Source organism: Homo sapiens, chromosome 2, assembly GCF_000001405.40.
Source record: "Homo sapiens chromosome 2, GRCh38.p14 Primary Assembly".
Lineage (NCBI taxonomy): Eukaryota > Metazoa > Chordata > Mammalia > Primates > Hominidae > Homo > Homo sapiens.
In genome coordinates, this window is record NC_000002.12 from 134,143,807 (window position 1) to 134,169,586 (window position 25,780).

A 25,780-nucleotide genomic window follows, 5' to 3' on the forward strand; every position below is an offset into this window, starting at 1 on the left:
ATTGAACCGCCTGAATGCAGAAGAGAAGGCAGACTATGAAATGAAGGCACAGTTTTCTGTTACCACGTAAGGATTTTGCTGGGTAATTATTACAGTGAGAAGATAGGGATGTGGGGGAGAAGAAGACATTGTAACAAGTTCAGGGAGGTGAGGGAATTTAGGAGGGAAAGGCTATGCTGGGGGAGGAAATGGAAAGAAGTGATTCTGGGATGCTCAGGGAGGAAGAGCAGGCCATCAGCCTTGGGAGTAGAGGCCAGGACAAGGTGTGTCAGGGATGCCGGTTGAAGATGAAGCTCACTGGGCTCCAAGCAACCACTGTGTGGCATCAAGGTCACTGGATTAGTCTGTTCTTGCACTGCTCTAAAGAAATACTTGAGACTGGGTAATTTATAAAGAAAAGAGGTTTAATTGGCTTACAGTTTCACAGGCTGTGAGGAAGCATGATGCTGGCCATCTGCTCGGCTTCTGGGGAGGTACAAGGAAACTCACCATCATGGCAGAAGGTGAAGGGAAGCCAGCACTTCCCATGGCCAGAGCAGGAGGAAGAGAGAGGCGGGAGGTGCTACATGCTTTTAAACAACAATATCTCACAATAACTTACTCACTGTCAGGAGAATAGCACCTAGGGGATGGTGCTAACCCATTCATGAGAACTCCGCCCCCCTGATCCAATTAGCTCCCACCAGGCCCCACCTCCAACACTGGGGATTACAATTCTACATGAGATTCAGGCAGGAACACAGATCCAAACCATATCACGCACTAAGTTCGAACATTTGGTGCTCAGTATAATCCTTTGGGGAATGGGAAGAAAATGTAAAAGCTTTAATTTATATATATTTTCTTCCCTAAAAAGTAAGGTCTTAAACTGTACTCATATTTATAAGTTGGCAGTAGTACATGTTTTTAATTTTAAAATAAGTCATATATATTAGGGATGCATGCTCATTTTTGACTGGTGAGCTATGGGACCAAAATCATTTTGGAAGGTACTGGCTTGGACGGCTGCTGGGTGAGTCCTTTGGAGTGATGATGTCATGATGTGGGAAACGGGCCTTATGGCTTGTGGAAACAGATGCCCTGTGTTCTGACCAAACAAGGGGTCTCCTCCAATACGGACAGGCATGAGGTCACGCTGGCCTGCTTGGTTCTTTCTAAATTCATTCTGCTGTGCAGACCACCTTTTAAAAGTGATCACAAACCATTTGCTGAATACTTGTGGAACTTGAATCCTCACCAATGTCTCCATTTTCTGGAATCCATCCCAACCCCCACCTTGGTCTTTTGGAAAATTGGGCTGTTTGCTCTTTTTTTCCCCTCCTCTCTGACTTCTTGGATATGCATTGATGTTTTCCCCTTCCTTCCAAGGAATTATAACCAAAGTAAGGTGTGTGTGTGTCTCTCTCTCTGTGTGTGTGTGTGTGTGTGTGTGTGTGTGTTTAAAGAACCTGGAATGCGGGCTGGGCGCGGTGGCTCACGCCTGTAATCCCAGCACTTTGGGAGGCTGAGGCAGGCAGATCACGAAGTCAGGAGATTGAGACCATCCTGGCTAACATGGTGAAACCCCATCTCTACTAAAAATACAAAAAATTAGCTGGGCATGGTGGCAGGCCCCTGTAGTCCTACCTACTTGGGAGGCCGAGGCAGGAGAATTGCTTGAATTCAGGAGGTGGAGCCTGTAGTGAGCCGAGGTTGTGCCACTGCACTCCAGCCTGGGCGACAGAGCGAGACTCCGTCTCAAAAAAAGAGAACCTGGGATGCAATTTTCCTGAGCCTTGACATTTGAACTGAAAATAACTAACAAGATCCGAGGAGTGAGGGGCAGGAAAAAGAGTGAGGCCCTGAGACAGGTTGACCTGCCTTCTAATTCTGACTCTGCTCTTTATAGCTGTGTGCCTCTGGGCAAGTTGCTTAACCTCTCTGATTTCCAGTTTTATTTTAAAGTTGAAGAGGTGCTAATCTATCTGGTGAGGTTGTGGGAAAAATTAATGAAACACATGAAAGTCCCTTAAACTTGCTAGGACTTACTAAATGCCAGTTCTGTCTCCTTCCTAACACCTTCCCCCAACCCCCAATCTCTTCACGCTCACTCTTGTACATTTCCACCCTGCTGGAAAACAAAGATGAGAACAAAATGTGCATTGCTGAGACTTACTGTTAGACTGTTTTTTAAGGTGTCCTTGATTTTGGTTAGCCTGGTCTTTTCTCTGTGATCTCTCTCATGAGTTCTTTACTCCAGTCTTTATTCTGCTTTAAGGAGAGTTTTGGGCATTCTTAGTTAAGTGTGGTGTTTGGCTGATGTTGAAATAACTCATTCATTATGAGCCTCCCCATCCCCATTAAATGCCTTAATTTCATAGGAGACAAAAAATTTAAGAAATAATGCCATTGTATACCTCCTACCCCATTGCATATATTAAGTAAAAGGAAATGAGTCTTGAGAACATTGAGAATGAAAACGTTTGAGTAGGCCAGGTGCGGTGGCTCATGTCTGTAATCCCATCATGTTGGGAGGCCCAGGTGGGAGGATTGCTTCAGCCCAGGAGTTCCAGACCAGCCTGGGCAACATAGTGAGACCTCGTCTCTACAAAAAAAATACAAAAATTAGCCAGGTGTGGTGTCATGAGCCTATAGTGCTAGTTACTTGGGAGGCTGAGGTGGTAGTGTCTTTTGAGCCCAGGAGGTTGAGGCTGCAGTGAGCTATGATAGCACCACTGCACTCCAGCCTGTGCAACACAGCAGGACCCTATTTAAAAAAAAAAAATTGATTAGGCTCATTTGAAAAGCTCTCTGGTAGTTATGGAATGAGAACCTTACTGTTTGAAGATAATGCTGCTGTTGTTTCTAATGGATGTGAGAGGGCCTGGGGAACCTCCCTAACCTGTTTGCTGCTTTACATAGACCAGGGCTTCCTGGATCGCTGGGTACCGGCATTGGCAGCTGGGTTTCTTTCAGCCCTGGGGACTGGCCACCGCTCTTCCGCAGCCATGTGCCTGCATGCTGGGTCTGAGGATGCCATTCTCTTCTGCATTTCATTGGAGTGTTGTATTACTTCATGAATGGAAGGAATTTAAAAAGTCACTCTGGAGTCATTAGAAAAGTATGGCTATGAAGAAAAGTAGGTCTTTGAGTTTCTTAGCTTAGTCTGTTGCTAGTATAAGTGGGTGTGGTGGTCCCTTTCCACTCGAAGAAAATATTTTATTGTTTAGTTAAAAAAAAACCCTTTTAATTTATAACTGGAATTTCAACATGAATGTTAATGTAGTTTGGGTTCCTGCTCTCTCTCGCTCTCTTTCTTTTTTCCTGAGAGAGTGATTTTGTACCATCAGACTGTTTTGAAGTTCTTAGTCATTTTGTTTCTTTATTAGTAAAATGGGATAATGGTACAGCATGGATGTGAGCATTAGAATACTGTGATTTGGGAAAAGAACCCAGTGCTGTAACGGAAGTCTAATAGCTGCTCAGTACATAGTAAATGCTATTTCAAATTTAGATTAAAGAAAAAACATGTTCACGGTCTATGCAGGCAGTGTAGCTCTATATGAAAAGGAACCTATTGATTAAATACTTAGAAAGTTTCAAAAAGCCCCCTTTTAAATCCTAAGATATTGGCATTCATGTGATGGATGTCTTGAGGCAGATAACACAGTTGAATCTTTTTAGTGGAAGAAACACAGATCTTTTCACATGAAGTTGTACTTGAAAAATATTGCCATAATTAAAATATACAGTGTAGTTATCAGGAAATGTACATTTTTTTGTATCTTGAAGGAGCCTTACAGAGTTAATAAAAAAAAAAAAAAAGAAAAGAAAAAAAAGGAACAGCCTCTAATGGAAATTAGCATGTGATTGAAGTTGTTTTTGTTTTGTTGTCCTCTTTCCTTCTGTCTGAGGTCTTACACCCGGTAATAGAATCAGCGTTGGGATGAGCAAGTCCTATGACTGTGTTCACTGATGGCATCCTGTCCTCCTCCTTCCACGTCTATGCCTGGCAGTCCGTAAGCTTGGATGGGAAAAAAATAGACGCTGAGTTCTAACTGAAATTTGGCATTTTCTTCCATTGTGAATATAGGGAACAAACCAAAGTAATATTAGAAATACCTTGACCTTTGTCATTAATAAATCCATATCGCACTACAGTTGTTGCAGAGATCTCTAAATATTTTTTACACTCATCACTACTTAAAAATGGTGGTACAGAATAAAACCATTTTTAGATCTTGTTACTTGGTGTAACTTAATGAAGAAGCACTCATACCGTATCACAATGGAAAAATATTGTGATAACTAAATCTAATTTGTTTGCCTTGTAATCTTTGGTGTTTTATTTCATGCATTTAAAAATGTTATTTTGAGGAAACATCCACGGGCTTCATCAGATTGCTGGGGGAGTCCAGAGCATGCAAAAGTTAAGACACCTGCTCTGTCGCCTCTGGTCTAAATTTTATCCTGACTGATAATGCAGTGGTCCTCAACCCTTGCTGCCCATTGGAATCACCTGGGGGAGTTTTAAGAATTCTAGCACTCTGGCCATACCCCAGACTAATTAACTGCAGATCTCAGGATTCCCCTGGTGATTGCCCTTGGTTCCAGGGGATTCCAGTGTGCAGTGAAAGTTGAGAACCATTGGTCTAAGTGTTCATACAAACTAACCTTCTTCCCTCTCTTCTTCCTTTCTGATTCTTTAAATAAGAAATTAAGTTTCATGCTTATGATAGAAAATTCAAACTGTGCAGGAGAGCATGGCTCTCTCACCTTTCCAGAAAAAACTATTGCTGACAAGTTTTGTGCATAAACAATCATTGTAGACATCACACATCCATACATTATCCACGATGAGATTATACTATACATGTTATACACATGGACACACTGTATGCAGTTTTTCACTTCTATCGTAGAGAACTTTCTGAGCTAGCTGTTGTTCCTTGAAATTAAGTTCTCTTTCTTAGGTTTTTTTTTTTTTTTTTTTTTGAGACAGAGTCTCTGTCACCCAGGCTGGAGTGCAGTAGTGTGATCTCGGCTCACCGCAACCTCTGCCTCCCTGGTTCAGGTGATTCTCCTGCCTCAGCCTCCCGAGTAGCTGGAATTACAGGAGCCTGCCACCACACCTAGCTAATTTTTGTTTTTGTACTTTTAGTAGAGGCTTGGTTTCGCCATGTTGGCCATGCTGGTCTGGAACTCCTGACTTCAGGTGATCTGCCCACCTCGGCCTTCCAAAGTGCTGGGATTACAGCCGTGAGCCACCGTGCCCAGCCTGGTGTTTATGATTTGCCTGGGGAGCTTTATCCCTCCAGGCTTAATTTAGGAGTAACTTGGAGACCATGGATCCTATTTCCCTCTTTTAAGAAATAGTGCAATGGGAAGGAAAGAACAGCCGTGAGGTCAGGCCCAGGCAAGTTGCTTATCCATCTGTGAATCTTTTTGCTCATCTGTTAGGTGGAGATAAAGAAAGCTTCCTTACAGGGCTGTTGTGCAATGTACAAGATCAGTGACAGGCAGCTATTACCATTATCCTCCATGTGGATTCTACTCCCCAGAGAAGCTGAAATGTTTTATAGGCCCCCCAGAGATTTTTCCACTAGCAAGCATGTGATAGAAAGCAAGGGTGAGTAAAAAAAAAAAAATCCCTGTGCATCTACTACAGACAGAATTTAGAGGCTCTACACCCATGTCTTGGGATTGCCACGGTTATCTGGTTGGATTTGGAGTTGGGTTCAAGGCCACACAGATGTTGAATGAGCCTTGTGAGCTCTTCTTTATTAACCTAGTACTTATACCAGGTTAATAAACTCTTGGAAATGCCCCCACATGCTTATAGACCCACATCTGTGCATTTCATCTCAATTGCGAAAGCAATTACATTGAAAATGAGAGTTGGTATCAGAGCTCCTGGCAGGAAACAATTCACCTCAGATGGTTTGAATGAAGCCTAATGAAAGGAATAATTATAGAGGTTGAGGGATCCACCAAGGCACTAACAGCAGTGGAAAAGCCCTATCACCTCTAAGGCTGAGGGGCCTGGGGAGGAAGTAGAGTTACTGGAGTGCAGTGAGACCTGGAACAGTGGAGGAGGAGCTGCCCAGAAGGAGCTATAGTCAAGGAAGAAGGTTACCCAAAGATGTGGCACCCAGTGAGAGAGGGAGCCAGAGAGAAATACCCAGACCTCTCTCTTCCTTCCTCCAGTTCCCCACTGGGTGCCTGATTGGCTGAACCAATGTGAAGCCAGCAGGCAGGGAAGCCAGGTGTATACAGGGGTCAGCTGGTTGGAGGGTGAGAATGGGTGGGGGTGAGGCCAAGAGAATCACCAGATAACAGGCAGGGAGGCTGTCAGATGTCAGCACTGTGAGGCTCCTGGCAGAATGCTGAGCACTTAGGTGCTAGATGTAAATGTTCCCTTTCCCTGGCCTCCTAGCGTCTTGATAGTAGTGTGTTTACCCCTATCAGCAAGGCCATTGAGACAGAAGGAGGAATACTAAAAAGCAAACCCTCTGGATCATGATGCTATATTTTCCTGAGCTCTGGCTCTCCTGGTGTCCAGCAGAGAAGTTCTCCATGTAAATTGTCCCCTGGTTTCTGCTCCCTATGCCCAGAAGCAGTCTAATTCACAGCCCATAGGTGCCCCTGGGCAGGCAAGACAGCCATGACACCAAGCAAGGAGATATTATTAATAATTGGGAGGCCCCCTCCCTTGCTTCTTCTGACACCAGTGCCTGGAGATTTCCTCTCATCCCCTGTGGTAGATAGAGGACCACGCTTGTGCTGGGTTTGCTCCATCAGCCACTCTGCAGGTTGGGCCTCTCAGAGATTAAGAGAAGAGTGGCTACCTCCATAATTTGAGCCTTTCAGTGTATTTAAAAAGTGAAAAAGTACATAGGGTTAGAAACACCATAGACAGTTTTAAATATTTACATTGAAGACCTGGATGCTTTTTAACACAAGGAAACATAATAGAATACAGTTATGCTTTTCACAAGATAATAATAGGAGTCACAAAAATATGGAGACATAGCACATTATAGGTGTGGCCTGGTAATGAATATATGTTCAAAGTTATGTGACGAATGTCTTCTGCTTTCAATCCCATTGTTTGGATCTCTGTGAGGCTCCAGGACTCCATTGGGAGAGAGGATCAGAAGTCTGAATCTGAGGCTGTTGTGACTTGGGCTGGTGCCAAATCTGCACCCCACCCCTGCATGTTCTGTACACTTGGATTCCCCTTGCCTCTAGGCCTTCTCAGTCCCAGGTTTGGAAAGATTCAAGGTTGGGGCATGCCTGCATTTTGCATAATTATGCAGCCCATAGAGGTGAGTGAGTGACATCCCACTCACCGCCATGGGACCTCACTCACGCCCTGTGGGACCCACTCACTGCCATGGGACCTCACTCACGCCCTATGGGACCCGCTTACCGCCATGGGACCTCACTCACGCCCTATGGGAGCCGCCCACTGCCATGGGACCTCACTCACTCATGCCCTGTGGGACCCACTCACTGCCATGGGACCTCACTCACCCATGCCCTGTGGGACCCACTCACCGCCATGGGACCTCACTCACCCATGCCCTGTGGGACCCACTCACCGCCATGGGACCTCACTCACCCATGCCCTGTGGGACCCACTCACCGCCATGGGACCTCACTCACTCACGCCCTATGGGAGCCGCCCACTGCCATGGGACCTCACTCACTCATGCCCTGTGGGACCCACTCACTGCCATGGGACCTCACTCACTCATGCCCTGTGGGACCCACTCACTGCCATGGGACCTCACTCACGCCCTATGGGACCTGCTTACCGCCATGGGACCTCACTCACGCCCTATGGGAGCCTCCCACTGCCATGGGACCTCACTCATGCCCTGTGGGACCCACTCACTGCCATGGGACCTCACTCACCCATGCCCTGTGGGACCCACTCACCGCCATGGGACCTCACTCACTCATCCACTGTGGGACCCGCCCACCACCTTGGGACCTCACTCACTCATGCCCTATGGGAGCCTCCCACTGCCATGGGACCTCACTCACGCCCTATGGGACCCGCTTACCGCCATGGGACCTCACTCACGCCCTGTGGGACCCGCCCACCGCCATGGGACCTCACTCACGCCCTGTGGGACCCGCCCACCGCCATGGGACCTCACTCACTCAAGCCCTATGGGACCCGCCCACTGCCATGAGACCTCACTCACTCATGCCCTATGGGACCTGGTTACTGCCGTGGGACCTCACTCATGCCCTATGGGACCCGCCCACTGCCATGGGACCTCACTCACTCATCCCCTCTGGGACCCGCCCACCGCCATGGGACCTCACTCACTCATCCCCTCTGGGACCCACCCACCACCATGGGACCTCATTCACTCACACCCTATGGGACCTGCCCACCGCCATGGGAACTCACTCACACCCTATGGGACCCGCTTACCACCATGGGACCCGCTTACCACCATGGGACCTCACGCCCTATGGGACCTGCTTACCACCATGGGACCCGCTTATCACTCACGCCCTATGGGACCCGCCCACCGCCATGGGACCTCACTCACGCCCTATGGGACCCGCCCACCGCCATGGGACCTCACTCACGCCCTATGGGACCCGCCCACCGCCATGGGACCTCACTCACGCCCTATGGGACCCGTCCACTGCCATGGGACCTCACTCACTCATCCCCTGTGGGACCCACTCACTGCCATGGGACCTCAGTCACTCACAGCTCTTCTTTCTGTTGCCAAATGTTGCACTGCCAATCTTCCCCAAAGGAAATAAAGGAAGTAAATGTAAAATCAATGTCTTTTTAATTTTTTACAAAATAATGAACTATCTGTTGAAAAAATTGGGAAGCCAGAGACTTCACTAATGAACGTGGTAACTATGTTTGTCTCCAAGTTATGTGCAAATGTGACTGAGTTTATCTTCTTAGTTTTAAAAGAAAAGTATGAATCGTTCTCTGACTTTAGCTGTATATCAGCAGTGCATTAATGAAATAGGGCAGTGCTTTGGCAACCTCAGTTGCGTAAGGAAGTCCAAAGGAACTTGTCAAAAGGGGAGATCTCTAAGCATACCCTTTCCAGGCATGGAGTCCACTTTTTTTTTTTTTTTTTTTTTTGAGATGGAATCTCACTCTGTCGCCCAGGCTGGAGTGCAGTGGTGTGATCTTGGCTCACTGCAACCTCCACCTCCTGAGTTCAAGCAGTTCTCCTGTCTCAGCCTCCCAAGTAGCTGGGACTATAGGCATGTGCCACCACGCCCGGCTAATTTTTTTGTATTTTTAGTAGAGATGGGTTAGTAGAGATGGGCTTTCACCATATTGGTCAGGCTGGTCTCGAACTCCTGACCCCAAATGATCTGCCTGCCTCAGCCTCCCAGAGTGTTGGGATTACTGGCGTGAGCCACCACGCCGGGCCAGAGTCCACATTTTTAATCAAGGCCCCAAGTGGTTAAAAAAATAACTTAAGGAGCACTGTGACATGGGAATATTGATCCCCTTAAGCCCTTTTTAAAGTGCTGAGGCTTAATCAGGAGACCCTTGGTCTTCTTTCTTTTTTTTTATTATTAAATTGGAATTGTAAAATTCCTCCTGGACCTTCTCCTGACTAACTGTTTTAATCCCTGTACCTCAGGCTGCCTGTCATTGGCAGGACAAATGCACAAGAACTGATTTCCCTGGAGAGGGTTCTTGGTGTCACATGGTGGGAGATGCTGTCTTGTTTAAAAACAAAGAAATAAAACCCTTCATTGAACTCGATGGTCTCCCTGAAGAGGCTGGAAACGTAATCCAGTGGTGTCTGTTTGTTTCCAGCCCATGTTGTTATTAATCCTGTTACAAATGATAATGCTTTGCCTTTACAGGCTTGCTGTCTCGGAGGAGTTTTCTGTATTGCCTGCTAGGCCCTGCTGGGTGATTAAGCCACTCACTCAGAGTCTTACAGGCCACTCGAGGACGATTTCCTTATAGCAGACGACTGACTATACTTCTCGAGCAGTGTTTGCTGAGTGACATATTAACTCTTGCTTATGGTTCCTTGGGAGGAGAAGGCCCTAATGCTATGAGGGTTAAGGCCCAGAGACATGGGCTTCTCCGCTCCACTCTCTCCCTCCCTTCCCTCATCATTAGAAGTTTCTCGGCCCCTTCCATAGGGGCAACGGCAGGGCTGTAGCTCTTTGTTCTTATGCCCTATTTTATTTTATTTTTTTATCCTATGGAAAAAAAATACCCAGAGCCCCGCAAAACAAGAGGTACTTAATTTAATACTTTTGTAAATAAGAGCCATAGCATTTTCACCCACCAGGTGTTATTAATAGTTTCCACTTATAATACATAGACTTTGTGGCCAATTAAGGCAGCAGGTAATGAGGAGGAATTTGGGAGAAACGAATATGGGTCAGGGAACGGATGGCACGCAGGAAAGAGCTTCAGAGGGGCACTTGGCCCTCTCCACCTATCTCAGATGAAGTCTTTCAAAACTCTGAAATGGGTGTGGACTTTTTCACAACTGTTGCAATACGAGAGGCTGCGACTTATTTATATAAGGAAATGGCCCTGCTCCCACCCACTCCTCCCCTTCTGTGTCCTCCTCCATATCCTGCCAGGCCTATCCATGCTGTGTTCAGACATGCAGGTCAGAGGGCACAGGCAAGCCCCGTTTTGGGGAAGTCCTGATTAGACCTGTCACGGGAGACAAGAAACTCAGTGGTTCCGCCCGTCCAGGTGTCCCCATTGCCTGCACGGAGCTGTCAGTGGTTTTGATTCTCAGGCTGTGTAAGCTGGTGGTAAGCCTCCATTATCTACCCCACAACACTCTTTTTATTTGAAGTCAGAGGACACTGACCACACCCCTGAGACTCTAAATCTCATCCAAGGAAATGGCCTCTCCAAGATCCATACCGTTTTACCAAGCCATAGGTGGGAGTTTTCTAGAAACACGAGCCATCCTGACAACTGTGCTGTCTGACTCTCTCTAATGAGCTGTGAGGCGATCAAGTTAATTAAAGAGAAACTCTGCTTGTTAAAATTCAAGCTAGAAGCATCTTTTTGTATCTGAGTTTGAATCTGGTCAGTGTTCTTGAGGGCACCACCGTGAGGTGTCTTGGTCATCTGTGACCTTTCCTGGAGGATAATGACATCCCTTCTAAACAAAGAACAGACTTTTTCATCAATGCTAACTCTTAGGAATAACAGAGGCTCAGTGACCGCCCTGTGTTTTGGGTCAGTCCTGCAGAAGAGGGAGAACTCTCCTGGGCGCTTATTCACATTGTCTGATGGCAGGTGGATGGGGTGGGTTAGGACGCGCAAACTTTGTTCATGGTCAGGAGTTTGGCACATGTGAAACAGTCCCTAGGAGAGTGCTCTCTTTCCCCACCGCCCAGAATTCCTGTGTCTTGGACATCTCTGCTGCCACCACCCTGGCCCAGGCTCCTGCCATTTCTGGCCTGGAAGATGCCGTGTCCTTTGCTTCCATTCTCACTTCCCTGTCTGCACGGCATCCACATTGAGCTTCTGAAAATGCAAAGCAGATCATTGAGGTCCATCTGCTTCTCCATTCTCCTGCAGAGTGACGAAGTGGTTGAGAGCTTGGTTTCTGAAGTTGGTCTGATTGTGTTTCAGTCCTTAACTAGGTCTGACTTGGAGCAGCTGAATTGAATTGTGTCCTCATCTGTAAAGTGGCATGCTGATAGGAGTGGAATCTACTTGTTGGAATGTTGTAAGGATTACCTTTTTATATGGAGCACTTAGGACAGGGCCTGGCACATAGTAAGTACTGGAAAAAATGTTGGTTGTTATTTTTATTGTCAATATTCTACTAAAATTCAGGGCCATCCTTTTTAAGCTTAGATGCCAACACAGACTCTTGGTCATACCTCTGGCCCAGGTGACATCTCCAGCTTCATTTTCACTTGTCCTCCTGCCTCCCTCTGTTTCTAGCCACACTGGCTCTTTCAGGATCTCCAAAGTACCATGCTCTCCCCAGCTCCAGGGCCTTTGCACATGGTGTTCTTTTTCTGAGAAAGCTTCCTTCCTTCCCTCTTTTTCTGGCCAACTCCTGCCTCTTCCTATCTGCACTTAAATGTCCTTTCCTTCCGCAGGGAGGCCTCCCTGGACCCCTCAGCTGAGAGCAGATCCCCATTATTCTCTGCTGCTCTCCCCGCCGTTCTTTTCTTCATAGTAGTTGCCACAGTTTGTAATTCTGTATTCATCCGTAGGCTTGCTTGATTTATATCTTCAAGCTCTCCTATACTTTATGCTCCAGGAAGCCTAGGACGTCCAGCAGCACACAACGCAGGCCTGGCCTCTACTGCTCCCTAACTGTGAGATGAATGAATGCTGCTCCCCCAGCTCAGCTTGTGCGCTTCTGCACAGGCCGCCGGTCTGTGCATGAGATCTTGTTTATTTGCATACAGAGACCCTTCCGAATACATTTCTAGGTCACAGGTTCTCAAACCGTAGTGTGCATCAGAAACACCTGGAGGGGATCATGGAGTGCCAAAAAGGAAATGAAGGCTGGAAGAAAAGTGCAAAACATGGCTTGTTATGGGCTGTCCAGATAAGTTCGTCCAGGTCTCTGTCTGTTTGGCCTGTGTCATTCTTCTTAGGTCTGTGTGAGGTTGTTAACGACTCCTGCCTCTTTTGTTGCCCAGGTGGTAAAATCTAGGGGCTAGAAAGGACTGAGCTACAGGATCCCCCAGGAGAAGAATGTTTTAAAAGAGTTCCTTATAGAGGCCCAAAGCAAGGATCCCAGTGGTTTGGTTGTAGCTAAATTTAGAGTAGTTGGTGGCTGCTCCTTCTGCCACTCATTCCTCTAGACATGCTCCTTGTAAGGCACTCTTGAGTTGGCTCCCTGTGCCCCTTTTACCTGACGAGAGCCACGAGAGAGCTCTCAGGTTTACCAGTAGCCCCGGAACAAGTAGTCCGTTTCGAGGGCTGTGATCCCCTCCCTCCACATCACAGCCTTCACGACATTCCTCATGGGTTTCAGGGGCTTTGCATGGGCCCTGAGCAACTCCTCATCTCTCTTGTGTTATGGAGGGAGACGGTGGTGTGGCCAGAGTGCAACTGGGACGTTGGACTCGGACACATCCAGGTTTGATGCAGCATGCCTTCAGGTAGCTCGCTTCTTGTCAGGGTTTCTCGTTCTATAAATTGGGAATGATGATATCTAGGTAAGCTTATGGTGTAGGGATTAAGCAGAGCCTCCAGATATGGAGGAACCAAAATCATCATCTAAGTCTTGCTAGTCTTTGGCATTTTACTGTTAATATAAGCAAGTGATTGATTCTTACTAAGCCTCAGCATCCTCCATCATATTGGGTTTAGAATGGTACTTACTTCGTAGGGTTCTTGGGAAGATAAAATACTTATAAAACTGCTAAAATCCAAATCAAATCTGTAGTTAATAGTATCATGCCAATGTTAATTTTTTTGTTTTGACAGATATATCATGGTTTTGTAAGATGTTAACTTTAGGGGAAGCTGGCCAAAGAGCATACGGGGACTCTGTACTATCTTTGCAACTTTTCTGCAAATTTAAAATGATTCAAAAATGAAAGCTTATTTTTTAAAAAAGCTTGTGAAACATTTGCAAAGTGCTTGGGGGTTTAGTAAGCCCTTAGTAAATGGTGACCATTACTAGTGTTACTAACAAAACCATGGTTACTACTATTGATATTTTGAAGGGTCATTATAACCAATGTGTTGTCTAGCTCAGTGGTCCCCAACCTTTTTGGCACCAGGGACTGGTTGCATGGAAGACAAGTCTTCCATGGACTGGTGGTTGTGGGGGATGGTGGTTTTGGGATGATTCAAGTACGTTACATCTATTGTGTACTTTATTTCTATTATTACATTGTAATATATAATGAAAAAATACACAACTCACCATAATGTAGAATCAGTGGGAGCCCTGAGCTTGTTTTCCTGCAACTAGATGGTCTCATCTGGGGGTGATGGGAGACAGTGACAGATCATCAGGCATTAGATTATCATAAGGGGCACACAGCCTAGATCCTGCCAGGTACGTGGACAACCAGAGGGTGAGCAAGGCAGAGAGGGTCTTCATTGAGCAGCAGTACAGTTCTCAGAATACTTGAAGTGGGTAGCTTCTATCCACAGGCAGGGTGTCCTGACAAGTCTGTTCAGTTCTCAGCTGAGGGGAGACCCACAGTGGGTAGCTTGTCTCTGCGGACAGGTTGTTCTGATATCTGGCCGAGTCTGGCTGAGTCCAGCATTTTTATGGGCTTCAGAAGGAAGGAAGCGTGTGCTGATTGGTCCATGGGCGGCCATGGGCAGGCCAGAAAAAGCACCATAAGTTATCACTCTGGTAGGTGGAACTGGCAGCCTGGCCCCCAGGCCTCAGGCCATCCCTGGCGTGAAGGTGGGGTTTTACCTTCCATCCCTGGCGTGAAGGTGGGGACCTGCCCCTTTTTGCCTGGGAGTATGTCTGCCTCCTCCCAGTGTCCATGGCACCTAAATTGTGCCAAGGGGCGCCTGCAGGCCCATACCGAGCCACCCTCACCCCCTCTAAGCGCCCCCTTGGCTTCCCTCCTGTGTTCATTGGTGCCCAAAGTCTGGAGGGGTGGCAGAGGGCTGGCATGTCAGCGCTGCCCCAAGTGTGCTTATACGTGGCCAGGTTGCGACAGTGCCTAGGACTTGGCCTCGACTTTGCTCTGAAATCAGAGCTGGTGCCGGGAGCCGAGAGTGTCTAGGCAGCGAGAGCAGGCCCTTCCAAGCCTGTGGGGGCTGGGGGTGCTAACTGGACCCCCAAGAATGCAGGGATGCCCGGGTCCACAGCCATGGCTGGGTGGCTGCAGCTGCATCCAGGAGGTCAGGGCTCCTGCCCCACCAATTCGGAAGGGGGAGGGGCTCTTGCCTGTTCCCGTCTCCCGCTGGCTGCCCTGTCCCACCTGTGCCTCCCCTGCTACAGCAGCGGCTGCTCCATATGGGCCCCCACTGCCATCACTACTACTGTCTCCCCAAATGGATCCCCCCAAAGAGCTTTTAGAGTTTTATTCTTACCCCTTCTCTTCCCCTTTATCTGCCCTTCACTGTCTGAATCTGGGCTGTCTCACATGATAACCACTAGGCACATGTGGCTATTGAGCTCTTGAAATGCTGCGAATCTGAATTGAGGTAGACTATAAATGTAAAATACACACCAAATTCTAAATATGAAGAAAAGAATGTAAACTATTTCATACATGTTTCAATGTTGATTACATGTTTTACATGGTGATATTTTGTGTATATTACGTTACATAAAATACATTTTAAAAATTAAGTTTACCTGTTTCTATTTATCTTTTATGTGGCTACCAGAACATTTAAAATTACATCTGTGGCTTGCATTACATTTCTTCTGGAGAACACTGGTCTAAATTCGTGTGTGTGTGTGTGTGTGTGTGTGTGTGTGTGTGTGGTCCCTGTATTCCCAACATAGTGTCCTGTAAAAGGCCCCAGGATTCATCCATCCCTTCCCTTCTCGCTTCCCTTCCTCTTTTTTTTTCTTCCCTTCTCTTTGCTTGCAATGTGTCTGCTAAGTGAATCTCTGGAGGAGAGAATGTTAAAGCATTTGAACGGTGACAAGATTGCTCAGACAGAAGGTTTCTAGTGCTTTATACCAGTCCAAAGAGTTAAGACGGTTGTGTTTTCTCTGATTACAAGTGAACAGCAAACATCTGTCGAGGAGTTTTTACAGGGTATTTGTACTTTCACATGATCTAATTTTACTATCTTCATAAGTAGTATGAGGCTGGGCATGGTGGCTAACGCCTGCAATCCCAGTACCTTGGGAGGCTTTTGGGAGGCTGAGGCAGGTGGATTACTTGAGGCCAGGAGTTTGAGACCAGCCTGGCCAACATGGGGAAACCCTGTATCTACTAAAAATTAGTTGAGCATGGTGGCACAGCCTATAGTCCCAGCTGCTGCCCCTCTCCACTCCCGCCCCAGAGGTGGAGGTTGCAGTGAGTGGAGACTGTGCTGGAAAGGCATTGCCTCAATAGTGGGGGTATGATAAGGACTCCTAGAAGTTAAGCACTACTTTAGCTCCTCTTCTCTCCTTACTCCCTAGAAGATTCAGTTGCTGGCGTGGCATATCTCTTTAAAAGTTCCTTATGGGATTCTAACATCCTTTTCCCAAGTCTGCCCTGAAAATGAGCTCTCTGGAGAAGGGTGGTGGTGCCATGTATCCTAAACTGCATCAGAGTCCTTTGGGGAGAGAAAATGTAGATTCCTCAGCTGGCTGCTGCTGTGCTTTCCTAGGAAGGGGGATGGGTTTACACCAGACAAGTCAATCAGCATATTTGCCTGACTGGTGTGGTGGAGCCTGGGGTAAGTGGTAATACGGTTTCCACTTTTTAATTTTTTTATTATTATTATTGTTTTTGAGATGGAGTCTCGTTCTGTTGTCCAGGCTGGAGTGCAGTGGCGCAATCTCGGCTCACTGCAAGCTCCGCTTCCCAGGTTCATGCCACTCTCCTGCATCAGCCTCCCGAGCAGCCGGGACTACAGGCGCCTGCCACCAGGCCCGGCTAATTTTTGTATTTTTAATAGAGACAGGGTTTCATCTTGTTAGCCAGGATGGTCTCGACCTCCTGACCTCGTGATCCGCCTGCCTCGGCCTCCCAAAGTGCTGGGATTGCAGGCCACTGCGCCTGGCCTGGTTTCCACTTTTGCAAAATGCAGGCTGGCTCACCCAAACTGCTCATGGGGGATGTGAAGGCTGGGTGCAGCTGTTGGTGTAGGTTAAGGATTGGGTGCGGGTATTGTATGAACACATCTGGTCCTCCACTTCCCCCACCAGAACATGATGCTGGTTTGTTGTGTGTAAGGGGTCATTCTTTCTTCTAGGGGTTAGCAAAAGGACAAAGGGTGGAGAGTAGCTACAGGTGTAGGTGCTGTGTAGGGTTTACATCCTGGCTTCCCTTGTCAGCTGTGACTTTATGCAGGTTACTTTAACCCTCTGTGCTTAGTTCCTTCATCTGCAAGTGGAGATAATAAGGGTAGCCCCTGAAAGGGGTTGTGGGGAAAGTTGCATGCAGTTCTTCGGAAGCATCTGGCTGGCTAGTGAGCATTGGGTAATGGTCCAGCTGCTCTGCCATGATCATTAGTGTTATCTGACACTTCTGGTGAACTTCAGGCTAGGATCTGCCAGGACGATCTAAGCAGACTTAATAGTTTTAGCAGAGAACATCTGTGAGCCCCGCGGCAGGCTCTGGCTTGAAGAAGTTAGGACAGCTGAAGGTGGTGGAAGGAGGTGAAGAAGCTTGGAGACAGGGAGGCCACCTGCACTATTTGCCAGTGGTTGTGCGTTTGCAGCTCTTTACAGGATATATAAGCCCTTGTGAAGGACAGACGTTGTCACCATGGATTCCAATAAGGCTTTCTTAGCCTGCCTCAGGAGGGAATGACTGTCCTTGCATTGATAACTGAGCAGGACCCGGGGAAGATCCTGTTGAGCTGGAGCCAGGCCAGTGTGTTGCCAAGGCCGTGGGGCTAGCCTTGGGGGCTGGGTTGGGCCTGGGAGCAACGGGAAGGAAGTGAAGTCATTTTTCAGCTTTGTGTTATCAGACCATTGCCTAGAAGACATATTTCTGGTGGGAGCCTTGTTACCTGGTAACTCATTCAACTTCTGAATGCTGGCCTCTTGCCCTCATCTTGTCTCCCCTCCTGCAGGATCTCCCAGGGCCCTGGACTCTGGCTGGCAGGAGGCAGAAGCCTGGGCCGCTAGGAAGAGGGGAGTAGGAGCCTCAGGATTGTCTTCTGCTCTGACTTCCCTTCAGTTTTCAAAAAATCCTGGTGTGGTCTGGAAGAATAGAGTTTATTTTTCCTTCTAGTAAGGGTGTGATCTTGGCTGGGGGCTTTTCATGGGGTTGTCATATTTTATCTACTTGTTTGCATATCGAGTTCAATCTGGATTTTTCTCTCAGCACTTCCGGCTCTCCTTTTGTTAGAATAGTTTCATAGATTTATTTTTTTTTAAATGAGTAATAGTACCAGTGTATTTTTCTTTCTAGAAGGACCTTGCTAAACATGTGTAAAATAGGAGTAGATATGAATATTTGGAGATTGGTGAAGTGATAAGAATGAGAATACACATGTTTGGCCGGGCGCAGTGGCTCATGACTGTAATCCCTGCACTTTGGGAGGCTGAGGCGGGCAGATCACATGAGGTTAGGAGTTTGAGACCAGCCTGGCCAACATGGTGAAACCCTGGCTGTCCTTTAAAAAAAAAATTAGCTGGTCATGGTGGTGCACGCCTGTAACTCCAACTGCTTGGGAGGCTGAGGCAGGAGAATTACTTGAATCCAGGAAGTGGAGGTTGCAGTGAGTCGAGATCACGCCACTGCAGTGCAGCCTGGGTGACAGAGCAGGACTCCATGTCAAAAAAAAACAAAAACAAAATACACCTGCTCTCCTTAAAGAAATGGTTCTCCTTGCAGCTCACCATGTAATTTTCTTGTACTCATGGTGTTAGGACCTTTTGCTGAAGACTGGCGGGTTGTCAGCTGAAACTCTGGGCCTGATTTAGGGACTTCCCTTAAAGAATATGACCAGAAGGAGATGGCAGTGAGGCAAGCAAGGAGTCCAAAGGTGTGTCTTTCTTTTCTAGTTGTTAGGGTTTTAATGGAATTAAAACCATATTTAGTAAATGCTACTAATTGAGCTGCTGACTATGTACTGGGAACTTTAGGTATATTCTCTCATTTAGTCCTTAGACGAATCCTTTGAGGTTATTGATCTCCTTTTACCATTGAGGGTAATACAGCTAAGTGATGAGTGACTTCACTAAGGTCCCACAGTTAGGATCTGAACAGAGTTGGGATTTCAACCCAGGTTCGTTCTGTCCTCCCAACCATGTTATTTCCACTGTGTTACATTGTCCCCTTAAGGAGACTTACTGATATTAGGAGGAGGGGTAGAAATAACATGTTTGGGATGCCTACTATGCACCAGACATGATGCTAAGTGCTTCACCATTATTTCTTTAACACCAATGACCATGTGGGGTAGGTGCTGTTATTACTGCAATTTCACAGAAGATGAAACCGAGGTTTAGAGATGTTAAGTGCCTTGCAAACTGTGTATTGAAGTGGGATGACCTTAGTGGTCTGAGAATCTACTGTTGGAATAATGAACTTAGGAGCATGAATAGAAACTGTATTTTCAGTGGATTGTCAAATATTTGTGGAGTGTCGGTGTTGCTGAAGATTCTGTGTCTGAAATACTCTTCAGAGACACCAAGAAGTGTAAGACGTGCCCTGCTCTTGAGGAGTTGACAGTCTGCTTAGGAGAGTTACTACACCCAGGAAGGAAAGTTTCCCAGAGGAGATGTTTGAGTTATGCAAGGGTAAGGTGGGCTTGGAAGGGGGATGTATTGGGGACAGGGAAAATAACCTAGCTACGATATGGAGAAAAGGTAGATTTCTTAGTTAGAGCAGACCTTCCTGATTCTGGAGGGCCTTGGGGGCCAGGGTTTGATCTTAGAGATGTTGGTACCTAAGACGCCTTATTGAAGGCCCTGCTTTTAGTGAGTAGGGGCTGGAGTAAGGGTGTTCCGGACGGTTCACCTGGCAGGTGTGCAGGATGAAATCAGGGGAGGGGCATGAGGATGGAGAAAGGCCCACCAGGTTAGAAAGCTGGTGTAAGCTACTGAGTAGGAGACAGTTAAGACAGGGACGCTTGTCAGAGTTAGCAATTCGACTGGCTGTGGTTCTTAAGCAAAGGTGAGTAATGTTGAGAAAAAAGGCAGACATCTTACTGATGTGATTGAGTTGGATGCTCAGAGGAGAGAGGTACATTTGTCCAGGACTGGATGATTGTCAGAGGCTCTAAGAGGAACATGTGAGTTTATTTTCCCCCAGAAGGATGGATTTGCATTTGTTATTAGAAAATTCTCCACTTTGGTTTCTTGTCTTAGCTCTACACAGTTCCCATTCATTACCTTAACATTGTACTGAGAGAGACCCAGGTCTGACCTGTATAGCAGTTTGAGTCGAGGGGCTGTCAAAGGGGTTGCCAAAGTCATCTAAAGGACTTGGCAACAGAAGTAGCATTATGACTTGGATCCACTTCTTTATAGACCAATATTGGCAGCCATGAAGGCTGGCTTGTCCTGGGTGCGGAATTCAGTTTTAGTGGCTGAATGCACAGACAGCAGGAAGAGAGAATAGGGGACAATGAACAACAGAGAGAGAAGAAATGCAGTGTGTAGGGAACCTGCAGGTGGTAACAGTTGAAACTCATATCAATGATCTTGCCTATTTACCACTCCATGTGCCTCACTCTGGCTGTTCTAATCCAGCAGTAACCAGTATTGTATTCTAGGGTCCTTCCCCAAATTGGAGCTACCCCCAGAATTTCTCAGGCTTTTAATTCCTGAAAATCTTTTAAACTAAAACTTCTAGGTCAGTTGTCCCCAGGGGAACTGAGGCTGTTTTCTAGCCTGCTGTCATTGTCAGCAAAAGCTTGTCTACATGCTAATTATTCCAACTTTCAGTGAAGCAATTCAGTGAGTGATCAGTAGGAAATAAGCTTTGAGAGTTGGTTGGTTTCCTAGCATTGTCCTCTTTAATAAATAGAAATGAGACCAAATTTGGGGACCTCATCTTGCCAAGGAAGAATTGTAGAGGTTAACCTCTCATGTGGAGAGGGCCTTGATTAGGATGCACCTCAGAGGTGGGCCTGTGTGGGTGGTTCTGCTTGTCTGTGGGGCTTGCTCTTGGGTGCTTCCTGAGGTGTGGTTGCACAGGGTGGTTATTCCTGAATGCAAGGGCTTACTATGATTTTCTCTTAGTGCCTCTCATTTCTGATGCTTTCTGTCCTATGAGGTCAGTCTACTTACTAGTTAGTATTCTATATTAATAAGTATGCCAAATGACTTAACTCCTCCAGAAATGTTATTCGTTAAAAGATGAGATGTGCTGAGACAAGAGGATCGCTTGAGTCCGGAAGGTTGAGGCTGTTGTGTGCTATAATTGGGCCTGTGAATAGCCACTCTGTTCCAGCCTGGGCAACATAGTGACACCCGTCTCAAAAAAAAAAAACCAAACCAAACAAAGCAAAACAAAACAACAACAACAAAAAAACAAAACAAACGTGAGTATGGCCACATTTAGCCTGACAGTCCCTTAATTCTGTGGTAAGGAGGCTGTGTCCTCCAGCACGGTGTTGGTAGGGTATAAGATGAAAAGATGCTGCCCTGAGATAACTCTCCACCAGGGCTGTGTGGTAGAACTTTCTGTGGTGATGGAAGTGTTCTGTATCTGTGCTATCCAGTATGGTAGCCATTAGTCAACTGGCTTTTGAGCACTTAAAATATGGCTAGAGCATCTGAGGAATGAAATCTTAAAATTTTCTTTAGGTTGAAATAACCACACGTCATAAGTGGCTTCCTTGGTGGGCATCGCTGCTCTAGCTGATGGCCAGAGATGACTGATTGCTCTATTTAGCCACAGAGCTAGGATGTAAGTCCTAGTGGGGCTGGCTCATTTGTGAGTGGAGATTTAAGACATGGATACTCTAATGCACATTAGAAAATTTAATATATTGCATGGGATTGTGAGGTTGTTTCATGTTGGAATTCAAAGAAGACTTTGGTGAGTTGGAGCTGGAAGTGGGAAGGGAAGTTTTTTTTAGAGGAAGATGGCATGCTCATAGCATTCAGGTCTTCTAAAAAAATTATCCAGGGCCGGGCGCGGTGGCTCATGCCTGTAATCTCAGCACTTTGGGAAGCTGAGGCAGGTGGATCATGAGGTCAGGAGATCGACACCATCCTGGCTAACAGGGTGAAACCCCATCTCTCCTAAAAATACAAAAAATTAGCCAGTCATGGTGGCGGGCGCCTGTAGTCCCAGCTACTCGGGAGGCTGAGGCAGGAGAATGGCGTGAACCCGGGAGGCGGAGCTTGCAGTGAGCTGAGATGGTGCCACTGCACTCCAGCCTGGGCGACAGAGCGAAACTCTGTCTCAAAAAAAAAAAATTCTAGGGAGCCAGCAATGTTCTGTAACTCATGTTCTAGGGAAGCAGTGTGATATGGAAGACTCCAGGCTTGGGAGCCTGGCAGATGTGTGTTAAGATGGGGATCAACTATGCAAGATAGTTAGCTTTCTGAATCTCAGTTTCTTCTCCTGTAAGGTATGAAAAATAGTACCTCAAAGAGGTACAGCTATGTTTGATAACTTGCCTGAGGCTCCTAGTGTCTCGGCACATAGCAGGTTCTCACTATAGGCATTATTAAGGGGAATAGGATTGGCATGTAGACACAAAGGTCCCTGAAGATCTAAAACTGCATAAGACTGGGTTCTTGCTCCTTTCCTTCATAGCCTCTGATGAGGGAGACTGTCTTTTCACACGTATTGAGCCAGGAGTGCTGAGATGATCGCAGAGACAGTTGAGAGAAGACAAGGAGAAAGGTGTGAAGAGCCTGAGTGATACACAGAGGGACCCTTGGAAATGTAAGAACTATAGTGTGATAAATCATGTCTCTGGTCAACAGTAAGGGCACAAGTTTATTCGTGCATAGTGCAGTCTTCAGAATTCTGACTTTTATTCTCTTCCTCTCCCCGAGGAGTATTAAAACTGGAGTTTACAGCTTAAACATTCTGGGTTTCTGGGCATTTATTTACATCACACCTTGGACACTTTCTGGAGCCAATTCCATTGTTTCCTTATGTGGGCTTTCTGTTGACTTGAACACATGAGGTCGATTTAGTATATTACAAGAACTGAACTTCATCTTTCAGACATTAATGTTGCCTTTCTTGTCTGGCATTAAGTGCGAGATTAATCAAAAACAAGGGAAATTAATAACATGTTGGTATTCACAATTCATCAGGAGACCTCATAGCAGGTATGAAATTAACTTCTCTGAATTAATACACACCTCAACAAATTAAAGGTATAAAAAAGGTTTTATTTAATATTTAGGAAATGTCTCTGAATGTTTCCTACTTTGGTAATTAGTTAAGTTAGATGTTGGGTGGTGATGGGACAATGCACAATAGATGAGGTCACCTCAGGACCCGTAGAAAGCTTTAAATCAACTGTTTTTTTTCTTTATAGGGAATTCACTTAGATAAATGAGATAAAACCAGATGGTTGATACAGACTTGTCTCTTGTCAATTGAAAAAGGTTTGCCCAAAGACTTGCAGTTTTGATCTCTATTAACTACAAATTTGATCCTGGGTTCTGTGTTTCCTTGTTATGACATATGGTAAGATGGGTCTCAAAGGATACATTACGAGGAACACATTATGGAAACTAACAGGGAGTTATAAGTCTCTATTACAACATTAGCTGAGGTTGATAAAGGACAAGCTTTTGTTACTGATTTGTTCCTGTAATTACATCAGAAATAACAGGCAGCAGTCACCTTCCATTAGGGGCGGGAGGGAAGGATCCTTACTATTTAAGTGATCACATAAGGTGCTGAATGAATCATCCTCAGCCTCATCATGAGGAATTAAAAATAGAACAGTTGACATCATCCTATAGCAGGTTTCTAAGGGACAGAAAAATGCCAGATAGTTTAAGGAAAAGAGCTGTCTGAAGTAATGGCCCAGCCCACATGTTTACAGCGTGTTGGCAGTGGTTCTCCAACTTCAGCATGCATCCAAGAATCACCTGGAGGCCTTGTTAAAACAGCGCTGGCCCCATCCCAGAGTTTCCGATTGAGTGGGCCTGTGGCAGGGTCTTAGATTTTTGCATTCATACCTTCCCAGGTGATGATGTTGCCGGTTCGGGGTCTACACTTTGAGAACCACTGCGCTAAAGGAAAGAAACACAAGTAGCTTGGGGATGGTTTAGAAAACAGAATTTTAAGATTAATACCCTGGTGCTTGTTAAAATTTTGATGACAATACCAAATTTCATTTGTTATGGTGTGCAAGTCTTGTAAAGGGAATCTGTTCTTTGTGATACTGCAAATGAACATTAAAAATGGTTGCAAACCTACATAAGTGGTCTCCCAGCATGGTTTCATCATGTCTTGGTTAAAATTTTGGATAAGCTTTGGCTACAACTATTATCTCTGTAATCCAAGTTAGTGATGGATTCAGAAGTTTGGCTATTTTTTTCTCAACTGTAAATCAAACATGCTGTACCTGGGGACCATTTGTAGGACAGCAGTCATTTTAACTAAGGGCATTCCAAGTTGCAAGCCATTAAATCATCCTTGTCACACCTGTCTGACAAAGTAGCTATCAGCAAAATAACTGTCAGGTAGCATCAGGCACCACCTGCTCCTATGGTTCCAGGCTTCGCAGTGGTTCTAGAACTGCCTGTTTATAATCCTATTAATTTATTGTTGCATTAAAGCAACAGCAACCAGAGTAATCATAATTGCTAACATTTGTGGAAGGCGCACTGACCCTGGTGCCACACACAGACTGTGTCTCCCTTGCCTTGGCTGTGAATCCCCATTTTCATAATGAGGCCCCATGACGACCTCTGTTTTAGACACAAAAAGATGGGGGGTTGGAGATCACTTGGTTGCTGTCACACAGTTTGACAGCTGGAGCTTTGTATTTGAGCCCAGGCAGTATTAGTGAGTTGGGACAGATTTTGATTTTATTGTATTTGGGGGACACTTTTCATGGAGACTTGATGAGAGGCCTCATTGAAATGGAAAGATGAGAGAAAGTTTTGAGTTGAGTGAATCTAAACCTATTTAAGGTTACCATTTAATATGTTCTGGCGTCAAAGACCAACCTAGATCTATGAAACTGGGCTTCACAGTATGGTGAATTTAGCTGCTCTGCCCATGTGGATGAAAGCCACGTGAAGCTAGTATTGTAATTGTAGGGCTCTTTTCTATGTGATTATCTGATGCATGACAAGGAAGATTGAAAGACTTAAAGTTTATAAATGTGGTCATGATTTGTTTCTAGTGCATATCAGTTGGTCTTATTTGAAATACTTTCTCTAGGCATAAAGGAGTTTAAGGCAGAACCATAGACACTCTTTACTTTGATGTTCTCAGCCACCTTTGTCTTAGATGTGGAAAAAGATAGGGAAATCCGTGGTTGTTTTTGGTATTCAGGATTCTGAGATTCTTCTACTGGGAGAGACGTCGTCCATAGGGAATAAGAGAAAGAAATGCTTGAGGTTGACCCCTTGAGAAGGGATCAACCTGACAGGTTCCAGTGCTGAGGGTCATAAGTGGGTGGGGAGATGTGAGACCTGCAGGTCTGGAATTGCCCACCTTTGTCCTGTGCCATTGGATCCTGGGTGGGCACCACACAGCTGGGCCCCCTGCACCTGTATTGGCTTGTCATGGCTTACCTTTAGAAATACTTTGGGGGAGGGCAAAGAGACAATGCAGGTTTCTGGTAGAATGCTGTGGTAGAGTAAGAATGTATCAAGTAGGTTATTTTGTTTGTAGGGCATTTATAACTTTCATCCAAAAAATAAAATGAAAGGAATAAATGTTGGTTGAAAATGGGATTTCAAGGCCGGGCGCAGTGGCTTATGCCTGTAATCCCAGCACTTTGGGAGGCCGAGGCAGGAGGCTCACTTGAGCTTAGGGGTTTGAGACCAGCCTGGGCAATATAGTGAAACCTCATCTCCATAATTTAAAAATACACACACACACACACACACACACAGACACACACACACACACACACACACACATATATAAAAGATTGAATTGTACTTCCATGATATCCATCTACAAATGCTTTCACAGCTGAGTTATAATTAAGAAAGGGAAGAAAATTACAGCATAATCCCAAGAAGAAATTGAGGGAGCCAATTAATCTCCAAAAATTACTTTGGGT

At 46.0% G+C, this 25,780-nt stretch overlaps 1 protein-coding gene across 16 annotated transcripts in view, besides 4 other annotated features; it reads left to right on the forward strand.

Moving 5' to 3' along the window:
* Positions 1-25,780, forward strand: part of MGAT5 (alpha-1,6-mannosylglycoprotein 6-beta-N-acetylglucosaminyltransferase) — a 334,687-nt gene that overhangs the window by 23,872 nt on the left and 285,035 nt on the right. For 3 of the 16 annotated variants that reach the window (XM_047444402.1, XM_047444404.1, XM_017004148.2), the window contains exon 1: positions 1-25,780. This exon is cut by the window's right edge and continues 7,950 nt beyond it. The exons of 12 other annotated variants lie outside the window; for them this stretch is intronic. The gene's annotated coding sequence lies outside the window, so the exon portion shown is untranslated. One more of the 16 variants, XM_047444403.1, reaches the window with a different exon arrangement.
* Positions 3,006-3,055: an enhancer, noted in NCBI's record as "active region_16545". NCBI's record gives its function as "activates an Ori minimal core promoter by ATAC-STARR-seq in GM12878 lymphoblastoid cells {active_cell/tissue: GM12878}" and the evidence as "EXISTENCE:reporter gene assay evidence [ECO:0000049][PMID:35858748]".
* Positions 14,055-14,660: an enhancer, noted in NCBI's record as "H3K27ac-H3K4me1 hESC enhancer chr2:134915432-134916037 (GRCh37/hg19 assembly coordinates)". NCBI's record gives its function as "activates a minimal SCP1, AML or CMV promoter by ChIP-STARR-seq in primed H9 embryonic stem cells {active_cell/tissue: H9 hESC(primed)}" and the evidence as "EXISTENCE:reporter gene assay evidence [ECO:0000049][PMID:30033119]".
* Positions 14,661-15,265: an enhancer, noted in NCBI's record as "H3K27ac-H3K4me1 hESC enhancer chr2:134916038-134916642 (GRCh37/hg19 assembly coordinates)". NCBI's record gives its function as "activates a minimal SCP1, AML or CMV promoter by ChIP-STARR-seq in naive H9 embryonic stem cells {active_cell/tissue: H9 hESC(naive)}" and the evidence as "EXISTENCE:reporter gene assay evidence [ECO:0000049][PMID:30033119]".
* Positions 23,407-23,456: an enhancer, noted in NCBI's record as "active region_16546". NCBI's record gives its function as "activates an Ori minimal core promoter by ATAC-STARR-seq in GM12878 lymphoblastoid cells {active_cell/tissue: GM12878}" and the evidence as "EXISTENCE:reporter gene assay evidence [ECO:0000049][PMID:35858748]".